The sequence below is a fragment of the Homo sapiens genome, chromosome 1, assembly GCF_000001405.40.
Source record: "Homo sapiens chromosome 1, GRCh38.p14 Primary Assembly".
In the NCBI taxonomy this organism is placed as follows: domain Eukaryota; kingdom Metazoa; phylum Chordata; class Mammalia; order Primates; family Hominidae; genus Homo; species Homo sapiens.
Window position 1 is genome coordinate 62,597,221 of NC_000001.11, and position 12,750 is coordinate 62,609,970.

General features: G+C 31.9%; 2 protein-coding genes across 16 annotated transcripts in view; one reads left to right on the forward strand and one right to left on the reverse strand.

Annotated features, from left to right (window-relative positions):
• The window catches only part of DOCK7 (dedicator of cytokinesis 7), a 233,661-nt gene that overhangs the window by 142,495 nt on the left and 78,416 nt on the right, over positions 1-12,750 (reverse strand). The gene's annotated exons all lie outside the window — the stretch shown is intronic.
• On the forward strand, positions 300-9,093 carry ANGPTL3 (angiopoietin like 3). Its single transcript, NM_014495.4, has 7 exons — positions 300-841; positions 1,476-1,586; positions 3,862-3,976; positions 4,549-4,662; positions 5,065-5,160; positions 6,749-7,015; positions 7,413-9,093. Exons 1-7 carry the CDS (start codon positions 347-349, stop codon positions 7,595-7,597), a joined length of 1,383 nt encoding a protein of 460 aa, NP_055310.1. The 5' UTR covers positions 300-346; the 3' UTR covers positions 7,598-9,093.

Sequence of the window (12,750 nt, forward strand, 5' to 3'; positions counted from 1 at the left end):
TTGACTTGTAAATCTCTTAAAATCATAAAAAAGTAAAATTAGCTTTTAAAAACAGGTAGTCACCATAGCATTGAATGTGTAGTTTATAATACAGCAAAGTTAAATACAATTTCAAATTACCTATTAAGTTAGTTGCTCATTTCTTTGATTTCATTTAGCATTGATCTAACTCAATGTGGAAGAAGGTTACATTCGTGCAAGTTAACACGGCTTAATGATTAACTATGTTCACCTACCAACCTTACCTTTTCTGGGCAAATATTGGTATATATAGAGTTAAGAAGTCTAGGTCTGCTTCCAGAAGAAAACAGTTCCACGTTGCTTGAAATTGAAAATCAAGATAAAAATGTTCACAATTAAGCTCCTTCTTTTTATTGTTCCTCTAGTTATTTCCTCCAGAATTGATCAAGACAATTCATCATTTGATTCTCTATCTCCAGAGCCAAAATCAAGATTTGCTATGTTAGACGATGTAAAAATTTTAGCCAATGGCCTCCTTCAGTTGGGACATGGTCTTAAAGACTTTGTCCATAAGACGAAGGGCCAAATTAATGACATATTTCAAAAACTCAACATATTTGATCAGTCTTTTTATGATCTATCGCTGCAAACCAGTGAAATCAAAGAAGAAGAAAAGGAACTGAGAAGAACTACATATAAACTACAAGTCAAAAATGAAGAGGTAAAGAATATGTCACTTGAACTCAACTCAAAACTTGAAAGCCTCCTAGAAGAAAAAATTCTACTTCAACAAAAAGTGAAATATTTAGAAGAGCAACTAACTAACTTAATTCAAAATCAACCTGAAACTCCAGAACACCCAGAAGTAACTTCACTTAAAGTAAGTAGAAAATAAAGAGGGTTCATGTTTATGTTTTCAATGTGGATCTTTTAAAAAAAATATTTCTAAGGCATGCCATTTGAAATACTTTGTTGCATTGTTGAAATACTTTTTTTTCCAAGAAAAATAATCTCCAGAAAATAAAATTTCCTATTATAATTTCAAGTTAGTTTTTTGTTTCCCTAATGTTATATATGAAAACACTGAAAATTTGCATTTTATATGAAAATTACAAATCGGTTAAATTATACAATCTAGAACACTATGTCATTACACTATTGTAAATTACTGAAGGTAAGTAAAAAGTTAAAAAAAATTTAAAACTATTCTCCAGTGTTTAAAACAGATTAAATAATACAGTAAATGGAAAAGATTTATTCATATGAAAATATGCTGGGCTTTTTCTTTTAATTGAAGTTCAGAAAATCAAATTTTAGAGATAGTACAATTTAAATAAAATGTTAAGGACAAAAATATGTGCTATTTGAAAGAAGCATACAAGGGGAAGGAATTGCCAATATTCATTTTTCAAATCCATTATTAGTTTAAAAATTTAGATTATGATAGTGTTACAGGAAATTAATAGAAAAGAAAGAGGAAAGCAACTTATAACCAACCTACTCTCTATATCCAGACTTTTGTAGAAAAACAAGATAATAGCATCAAAGACCTTCTCCAGACCGTGGAAGACCAATATAAACAATTAAACCAACAGCATAGTCAAATAAAAGAAATAGAAAATCAGGTAAGTCAGTATTTTAATGGTATGTCCCATCTTTCACACAGGTCTGTAAAAACACTGAATCCTAAAATTATTTACAAGCTTTAACTGGATCATGAGTAAAATTATCACATCAGCATAACTGTTAAAATTGCAGGCTCTGAAGCTAATAAACTACCTGCATTTAAACCATGGCTCTAAAACTTTGTGTGACCTTGAATAAATTACTTCACCCCTTTATCTCTCAGTTTCCTCACATATACTACAAAGATAATAACAGAACTTATAGGATTATTGTAAGAAAAAAAATTAATTCATAGCAGCCAATGTCATCTTACTAAAATTCAAATTAGATCATGTTTCTCTTTGCTCAAAACCACACAATAGCTTTCCATTTCACTCATATTGGCTCTTTAGACCAAGATTACCCAACCCTTCGTCATCTCACTGACTTCACCTCCTCTACTCTAGTTATTCTGACCGCTTTACCAGTATTCAAACACATCAAACATACTGCCACCTCAAAGCCTTTGCCCTTGTTGTTTCCTCTAACTGGAACGCTCTTCTGCCCTGGTATCTACGTGGCCCACTCTCTGATTTCCCTTAGGGTCGTTATCAAACAAAAAATTCCCAATGAAGACTTACAAGGTCACTTAACCAAAAATCACAACCGCCTGGTCCCATCCCTGAAAACTTCTACTTCCTTAGCTACTTTTCTCCTGCACACTCACCTTTATTTAACATAACATAAATTTTAGTTATTTATCTCTTCTATTCCTGCACTAAAATGTAAGCTCTGTGAATACAGGGATTTTTTCCATTATCTTCATATTTTCCATTATTTGTATATACTCCAGAATATAGAATACTGTATGGCACACAGTAGGCATTTCTGTTGAATTAATAAATGTAATGTCATATTCACACAGAAGCGTGTGCTATGATTATTATTACTTGGATTACTAGAAATAGTGTGCCTCATAATTAAAGGTCAACATTCAACAATGTAATTAATCTACAATGTAAACATCTGGTGAAGTGACAGAGGGAAGCACTTGTTTAGAAAAAAGCTATGTCAGAATCCATGTATTCTAATATGCAGTACAATAGTTTAAAAATATTAATAATACTCTCAAACAGCTATTCAAGAGGATTCAAAAAACATAATATAAACTCAGAGAAACTGGTAAACAAAATCATTTTCAAGAGATATAAAACAAATATTATTACCAATTTCCACTAAACAAACATAATGTTAGTAGTGCTGCTAAAAGGTTTTTTATCAACTACTTTTGGTTTCCATACTTTCCTTCTTATGATGTTATTATTCTAAATTCTTTTCAATTATATCTTTTACTATGATTAAATGAACCTGCTCCCCAAAGCAAAATGTTACTATAGTAATATACATTGTGTCTAAAAATAAAAATGTGTGAAGAAACCAAAACAATGAATTTCTGAGTTGGAAGAAGAGTTAGATCATTTAACTTTCTCATATTTAAATTAAAAAAACAAAACTCTAAAAATTTAAGTAACTTTAAGATCACATAGTTACTTAGTAGAAAAGAGTAATACCCAGCAAGCAAACTTTACAATAGATCCTTTTAAATAAGGTCCTAGGAAATATCATTCATGCCAGCATCAAAAAACTAACACTAATAATGCAAGATATTATATATTCTGCTTTTCTTACTGTCAATGAGAAAAACTATCATTCAATAAATTGCAAACCCAACACACTTAAATAAAAATAAAATGTTACTGCTAAACTAACGATAAACTACTGAATATATAGAAAGTAAGCAAACAAACTTGCCAACCTGCCAACATCTACAGATATGTTTACAGGTCAAAAATTATCAAATTATCAAGAAAGCCTGGTTCAAATTATGTATTATGTCTTTATCACAGGTCTGAAGATCAGTAAGACCTAAAACTGAAAATTATTAAACTTAAAATCTGAACAGAATATCAAATATATTTTATTCATATAAATAAAAGAATACATTACAATATTCTAAGCAAAGCAGTCTCTACTTTTGGCCTTGCTCTGTTTTCCGACCAATGTCTGCTTTTTTGCCTTGCTTTATTTTTTTATCTTATTAAATAATGTCCCTGATTAAATATTTTGAGAACAGGTAATCTGTACAATCTGAATAACACTGTTTATCTAAATATCAAACACCGTTATAACATTATGAACTGAAAGACAAACTGTACTTCTGACATCCTTACTCAGATTTCCCCTAATTGTATATTCAGTATCATTTTAAAAAACAGATTTATATTCTTTTATCAGCTCAGAAGGACTAGTATTCAAGAACCCACAGAAATTTCTCTATCTTCCAAGCCAAGAGCACCAAGAACTACTCCCTTTCTTCAGTTGAATGAAATAAGAAATGTAAAACATGATGGTAAGACACTTTGGTGGGTTTCCTTCTTGAAGCTATTATTATCAAATTCCCTATTCTTAGGACTTGTTCTAGACTAAAAGATAGTTAAGAGATATCCATCAAATACAATGTATCAACCTAAACTGGATGCTGGGGTTCTTTTTACACCCTATAAAAGACATACCTAAGACAATCAGAGAAATACAAATATGGACTTGATTATTAGATAATATAGAAGGTTTATTAATTTTCTTAGATGTGATCATGGTATTGCAGTTTTAAAGGAGAACAATCTCCTGTTTAAGAGATACATGCTGAAATATTTACGGAGTTAAAGGTCACTGGACTCCAGACTGGTGATAGAACAAGACTCTGTCTCTAAAAAATAATTAATTTTTTAAAAGAAAATAGTTTGGTAAGATGATTCTTACATTCTTAAATAACACGCCATCTAAGAAAAATGCTTTAACATAAACATTACTGAAAAAATGCTACATTTGCCACAACTTCATAAAATGTCAAGTGAAATCTCAAGCTCCAAAGATATTATTCCTATTACTAAATCTGATGTAATAACATTTTATTGATTCTAGGCATTCCTGCTGAATGTACCACCATTTATAACAGAGGTGAACATACAAGTGGCATGTATGCCATCAGACCCAGCAACTCTCAAGTTTTTCATGTCTACTGTGATGTTATATCAGGTAAAACCTGTCTAAGGAGAATAGACAGTAGTTAGTTCAACTTACTCATTACGTATTAGGAAGATTAACCTGGTTATCATTGTTTTATACATATATATATGAAATATATATGAGTATTCGTATAAATATAATACTTTTACCTTGTTTATGTATTTACTCAATATTCTCCTTTTCCTCTAAAATAATCTGAAGTGACTATTATCAATAAGTTTACTATGCCAAAATTCATTAATTGCCTTTCACTTAACTTTTGGGACCATAATAAATAATAAAATGTATTGCCATAACATTAATAAACTACCTTACAAAACCACCAATTAAAATCAAACAAACAAAAAAGTGTTATTTACATCTGTCAACATAAATCTACTAAAAATACATGATTTCATTCATTATATTCAGGTAGTCCATGGACATTAATTCAACATCGAATAGATGGATCACAAAACTTCAATGAAACGTGGGAGAACTACAAATATGGTTTTGGGAGGCTTGATGGTAAGGGGACTACATTCAATCATTCATTCACTTGCTAATCTACAAATATTTACTGAGAACCTCTTATGGACCAGGTATTAGGAAAAGTAGTAACGAACGAGAAGCAGTCTCAGCCTTCATATAATTTATTATCAAACAATTACACATTTGTTAGTAAATTACACTTATTACAACTGTTATTATTTGAATTATATTTATCACAATTACATGTCTGTTCTTAAATATACTTATCACAATTTAATTCCACGGCTTACAATGATCATAACTATAATTATTAAAGACAATTTTGATTAAATGTTATGTCATAAGTAGTAACTGTTACAAATAAGCTGTGAAAAGAACCACTCCTAGCATTAGTCACTCTATTCTCTCATTAACGTTTTACATATCAATTAATTGGAAGTTAAAAGGACCAGGAAACTCAGACATACAGTATACATTTTAAAATTTCAATTATTTAAATATAATATATAGAATGTATGGCTTATAATGAATTAGTTAACTCAATGCAAATTATTCTATTTTGATTACAAATAGTAAAATAAGCAAGATAAAATAACAGATGTTTAAAATCCAAAAAGCACATACAAAAATCCATGAATGATGTCTAAGTACTCACTTATAAAGTAGAAGACATTCATTATTATATCAAATTTTTAAATGCTCAGTACTATTTGACCATTTAAAAATTTTGTATTCAAACTACCAGTGAAAGCCCTACCTAGAAGGTATACTCAGTGATAAGTTTTGTAGCTCCAAATCTTCTAATAGTGAGTGTAACCCCAAAATAAAAGGCTGACAGGTAAGTCGAGAATACTCACTTAATTCTGGTAAGAAAGCAACCCATTTGTACTTGTATTTACCAGCAATCCTTAAAATGAAGCTTCCTACTAACTCAATAGCAATAAGACAATAGTGAATGTTTAATGAAAACAGTATTTTATAAATACTTTAATAAAAAGGATTGTGATGAAGAACAATCTATTTATATTTGTTATTTGTTTTTAATTCCAATAAAAATAATTTTTAAAATTACAGAAAAAAGTTATTAAGAACCATGCTTTTAAATTTAAAATGATTTTTTAAATTTATTCCTGTCTTTTTCTACAAAGAAAGCATACATTAAGCAAATACCAAAGGCCAGGTTTACATTTGAAGAAAGTGACATTATTATTACTCAAGTCTCTAGGAATACTTAACACATCTCTTGACTGTATATGGATGTTAATAAATAGCTGACAGTAAAGTTTATCCATATAAAGACTTGCAAATATTCCTCTACCAATGACGAGACTTTAAAATATCTATAATAATGTAACACATTTCACTGGTGAAACATGTCTTGTCATATGCATTATAGAAAGGATAATCAGACTTTCAGTTATATTAATATTTTTAACATTTTTGTGCACATAGCTATCTTCAATAAAATTGTTTTAAAAGGTATTATTTTAAGATACACTAAAATGATCAAGGGATTCAAGACTAAACAACTCAATTAGTTGCACCAATAAAAAACACTTAAAAAAACTGTCAGTGTCCAACCTGTACTTAATAACTCACAGATTTTTAAAACTTTTCTTTTCAGGAGAATTTTGGTTGGGCCTAGAGAAGATATACTCCATAGTGAAGCAATCTAATTATGTTTTACGAATTGAGTTGGAAGACTGGAAAGACAACAAACATTATATTGAATATTCTTTTTACTTGGGAAATCACGAAACCAACTATACGCTACATCTAGTTGCGATTACTGGCAATGTCCCCAATGCAATCCCGGAAAACAAAGATTTGGTGTTTTCTACTTGGGATCACAAAGCAAAAGGACACTTCAACTGTCCAGAGGGTTATTCAGGTATCTTTTTCTGATACCAATACTTTATTTTCATATCTTCAAAGTATCTTCCCACATTATTAGCTATTATCTGCAATGACAACTTTTAAAAATCCGAATCCCAAATAAGCGTTTTCTCTCTAGACGAAAACCTCTTAACTATAATGAAAGTGTTCATTCTAGTTCAATCAGGTATTTTACCTCTAATCTTCCTCAGATTTTCTATTTTTTGGTAGTGTATAGATTATTTATACAGATTATTTAAAATTGGGACTTATACAGATTATTTAAAACTGGGATACATGCATCTAAAACACTGTAATATTTATAAGAAAGGAAGATAAACTTACGGGGAAATACAGTAACAGTAACTACATACGAGTCTGTACCCATTAAATTGCATATCTATCTCCTTTAGGAGGCTGGTGGTGGCATGATGAGTGTGGAGAAAACAACCTAAATGGTAAATATAACAAACCAAGAGCAAAATCTAAGCCAGAGAGGAGAAGAGGATTATCTTGGAAGTCTCAAAATGGAAGGTTATACTCTATAAAATCAACCAAAATGTTGATCCATCCAACAGATTCAGAAAGCTTTGAATGAACTGAGGCAAATTTAAAAGGCAATAATTTAAACATTAACCTCATTCCAAGTTAATGTGGTCTAATAATCTGGTATTAAATCCTTAAGAGAAAGCTTGAGAAATAGATTTTTTTTATCTTAAAGTCACTGTCTATTTAAGATTAAACATACAATCACATAACCTTAAAGAATACCGTTTACATTTCTCAATCAAAATTCTTATAATACTATTTGTTTTAAATTTTGTGATGTGGGAATCAATTTTAGATGGTCACAATCTAGATTATAATCAATAGGTGAACTTATTAAATAACTTTTCTAAATAAAAAATTTAGAGACTTTTATTTTAAAAGGCATCATATGAGCTAATATCACAACTTTCCCAGTTTAAAAAACTAGTACTCTTGTTAAAACTCTAAACTTGACTAAATACAGAGGACTGGTAATTGTACAGTTCTTAAATGTTGTAGTATTAATTTCAAAACTAAAAATCGTCAGCACAGAGTATGTGTAAAAATCTGTAATACAAATTTTTAAACTGATGCTTCATTTTGCTACAAAATAATTTGGAGTAAATGTTTGATATGATTTATTTATGAAACCTAATGAAGCAGAATTAAATACTGTATTAAAATAAGTTCGCTGTCTTTAAACAAATGGAGATGACTACTAAGTCACATTGACTTTAACATGAGGTATCACTATACCTTATTTGTTAAAATATATACTGTATACATTTTATATATTTTAACACTTAATACTATGAAAACAAATAATTGTAAAGGAATCTTGTCAGATTACAGTAAGAATGAACATATTTGTGGCATCGAGTTAAAGTTTATATTTCCCCTAAATATGCTGTGATTCTAATACATTCGTGTAGGTTTTCAAGTAGAAATAAACCTCGTAACAAGTTACTGAACGTTTAAACAGCCTGACAAGCATGTATATATGTTTAAAATTCAATAAACAAAGACCCAGTCCCTAAATTATAGAAATTTAAATTATTCTTGCATGTTTATCGACATCACAACAGATCCCTAAATCCCTAAATCCCTAAAGATTAGATACAAATTTTTTACCACAGTATCACTTGTCAGAATTTATTTTTAAATATGATTTTTTAAAACTGCCAGTAAGAAATTTTAAATTAAACCCATTTGTTAAAGGATATAGTGCCCAAGTTATATGGTGACCTACCTTTGTCAATACTTAGCATTATGTATTTCAAATTATCCAATATACATGTCATATATATTTTTATATGTCACATATATAAAAGATATGTATGATCTATGTGAATCCTAAGTAAATATTTTGTTCCAGAAAAGTACAAAATAATAAAGGTAAAAATAATCTATAATTTTCAGGACCACAGACTAAGCTGTCGAAATTAACGCTGATTTTTTTAGGGCCAGAATACCAAAATGGCTCCTCTCTTCCCCCAAAATTGGACAATTTCAAATGCAAAATAATTCATTATTTAATATATGAGTTGCTTCCTCTATTTGGTTTCCTTAAAAAAAAAAAAAACTCTCATAGGACATGTTTCATTTTGTTCCTTTCAGGAGTAGTAAATTAGACGTTTTCCCCATATAAAGCTTTTTTCTACCAGAAAGATACTTCTGGTAGAAGAAGAGAAAGGAGCTCTTTATGGTTCACACGACTGTCTCCTGTCCTAACTACTTTGCTTAAAGTGCTCAAATTCCATCACTACTCACAGTTGTCTAATCTAAGTCTAATCCCCTTTGATCTCTCAGACTACCTTCCCTTTTATCTCTCTACTACTTAATAATAAGAATATCTTTTTTTCAAACTTGACCTTCATTTTGCTTTCACAATACTATACTCTCCATGGATTATCCCTTATCTGAATCCATCTTTATAACCCTATTCCTTTCTCATATTTAGTACTGTGGGCCAATGGACAACCTTCAATCATCTTTTCTACACTGACCCTCAGACATTCTATCTGCTCTCACGGACTCCTTTATTTACCATGAATAAAGTTCCAAAATCTACATATTCATCCCAAGTCTCTTTCCAGTTCCCCTTCTTACATTGCCTATTTGCCATTTCTCCCTTCAATACCCTATACTTCACTCAAATTCAACATACCAAAAATAAAAGGCCAGGCACGGTGGCTCACACCTGTAATCCCAGGACTTTGGGAGGCTGAGGCAGGTGGATCACCTGAGGTCAGGAGTCTGACCAGCCTGACCAATATGGTGAAACCCCGTCTCTACCTAAAATACAAAAATTAGCCAGGCGTGGTGGCATGTGCCTACAGTCCCAGCTACTCAAGAGGCTGAGACAGGAGAATCGCTTGAACCCAGGAGGCGGAGGTTGCAGTGAGCTGAGATCACACCAATGCACTGGGTGACAGAACAAGACTGACTCAAAAAAAAATAAATAACAAATTCCCCAGCCCCTTACTGCTACTGCTATCCCTTTCTACCCACCTTTCCCTCCTTTATACTCTTTCACACCATCTTCCTCACTTCTTTATATCCATTAATATGACCAGCATGTTCCCAGTCACAGAAGCCTGGAACCCGGAAGACATCTCTGGCTTTTCACTCAACTTTGTAAACTACCTCTTTTGTATCATAAGCCACCAAGTTCAATACAATCTTCTCTTGAAACGTCTCTTAATCTTATAAGCTTTCTTCCCCAAAGACTGTCTTTAACTTCAGTGCTAGATTATATAAGTAGTCTCTTCTTTCCTCCTAATTTTACGTCCCTCTCCCTGTCAATCTTCCGAAAAGGAATTTGTAATGGCTGCATACTGCCTGGACCTGTGTCTTTCAAGCTCATCTACTGAAGAAGTGTAACAGCAGAGGATAATGAAAACAAATCCTTTTATTGTCTGGAGTTACAGGATAAAATAACTTACTATATGCACAAATTTCTTTCAGAATCTTATTGGGATCTTAGCTTAAATCTTAGAATTTTACTTTAAAATTGCATATGAATTGTGTTTTATACTTTATAAATCTATCTTCATGCCTGCAGTGGCTCACACCTGTAATCCAAGTATTTTGGGAGGCCGGGGCGGGAGTACTGCTTGAACCCAGGAGTCCAAGATCAGCCTGTGCAACACGGCAAAACTCCACCTCTACAAAAAATACAAAAATTAGCTGGGTGTGGTGGCAGGTGCCTGTAATCCCAACTACTTGGGAGGCTGAGGCAGGAGAATCGCTGGAGCCTGGGAAGTCAAGCCTGCAGCGAACCATGATCCTAACACTGCATTCTAGCCTGGGCAACAGAGTGAGACTCTGTCTCAAAAAAAATCTTCATATAAAAATATTTATTTCCCCCCAAGTATTTAAAAAGTGATGTTCCTAGAAGATGTGTCATGTTTATCCTGTGAACTTGCACGTCCCATATAGTTGTGCCCTCACAAGAATGTATACTCCAATTAGAAGAGTATAGGCCTTTGGAACAAAATCCAAAATCCTTCCAGGTTTTCAAAAGTCTCTATCACCTGGCCCCAAATTACCTCTTCAGCCATTTTTTCCCACAACACAAACCTTCTGCTCTCATCAAAACGATCTACTTTTAAACATCTCCTCTATGCCTTCCTAATGTATTCCATTTGTCTAGAATGTCTCCCCACACATTTCTGATTGGCTAGATTGTGCCGTATTTTAAGGTGCAGATATCTCAATTCTTCCACAAATATTCTAGTAAATGGCAGCTTGTTCATCTGAAACCACACAGAATTACTGTCCATACACCTCAAATGGCACTTAGTGAGAAAATACACAGAATATGGCAAATCATAATAATAAAAATTCTGAAAAATAGTACTAAAAGCTCCAAAAGCATCAAAGATAGTCAGTTTACCTGATTTTAGTGAATTACTGAAAAATTTCTATATCAAGAGTTTATTTTGAACCAGTATGAATTTTACTGAAACCAAGTACACACATGTCTCATTATGAGGTAATCTAGTGTAGTATAATCTATTTCCATACACTCTGTCATCCTGGAATCAGCATATTTTCATGCTTGTATCTTTACTTCCTAATAGCATAACTCATGGAAGTCAACTAACTCATTCATTAATTTTAGAAATGGTATTCATTAAACAACACTTATTGAGCATCTACTATTTGTCTCCTTTAAAAAACATATTCCAAATTTGTACTCATATATACTCTACCTTCTGCTGTAGGATAATCAAATTTCCTTGTGATTTTTTTCCCCATCACTAACAGCCATAAACTCTGCACTTATGTATGTACTACTGAGTGATTATCAAACACAGCAGTTTTAAAAATGAAAAGAAAGTGACCCAACAATTGGCCCTTTTATCAAAGTCCAAAGTATTATCATGGCAAATCAACTAGGGTAAAATTACTTAACTGGTGCACAGTTCAAGGTCATGAAAGTAGCACTAACAATCCTCTATTATAACCCTTAATAAAATGAGGTTTTAATGACATTTTAGGAAATATAAAATAAACTTAAGAATTCTATCTAAAATACAAAGGCTGTTTTTCCTAAATTCATGTTTAGTCCTAAGAACAGTCATACATCTAATAAAATGACTGGGTATATAATTTGAAAGAGCAATAAATTACTACCTTGAAGATGTAAGGTTGTAGCTATTTATCTTAAAATACACAGTCAAACCTCAGTTTCCACACCCAATAGATGGGAATAATAATCCTGTCAAATCTATTAATACTTCATGGGATTGTAATCATCAAGCCAGATAATGTATTTGAATAGCTTTATGAACTATAAAGTTCTAAACAAATGTATATACTTTTTAAAAACAGGTTCTTCCGTGTCATTTTTCACATTCCTTTAAGTAAATAATCTCTACAAACGCTTCCTAACTGAACATATTATAATTCTCAGGACAGAAGAACAAAACTGCCCTTCTCAGAGTTTGCATCTGTTTCTGGAACTTTACTCCTTCCCTTCACAATCTAAGATAACACTCCATCACCTTCAGATGCAAGCCCCTAACTAAAAACTTCTGGGTGGCTATGTTAAAATGTTAGGAAATAGAGCTCTTGACTCAGAATTCTTTTTTTTTTCGAGATGGAGTCTCGCTCTGTCACCCAGGCTGGAGTGCAGTGGCACTGCACAGTGAGCTGAGTGATCTCAGCTCTCTGCAACCTCCGCCTCCTGGGTTCAAGTGATTCTCCTGCCTCAGA

Excerpts from the sequence above, each read along its gene's own strand:
- ANGPTL3 (NM_014495.4), top strand. The coding sequence starts at position 347 with ATGTTCACAATTAAGCTCCTTCTTTTTATTGTTCCTCTAGTTATTTCC. Across the intron at positions 4,663-5,064 it reads CTACTGTGATGTTATATCAG|GTAGTCCATGGACATTAATT; the intron begins GTAAAACCTGTC and ends CATTATATTCAG. Across the intron at positions 7,016-7,412 it reads CTGTCCAGAGGGTTATTCAG|GAGGCTGGTGGTGGCATGAT; the intron begins GTATCTTTTTCT and ends TATCTCCTTTAG.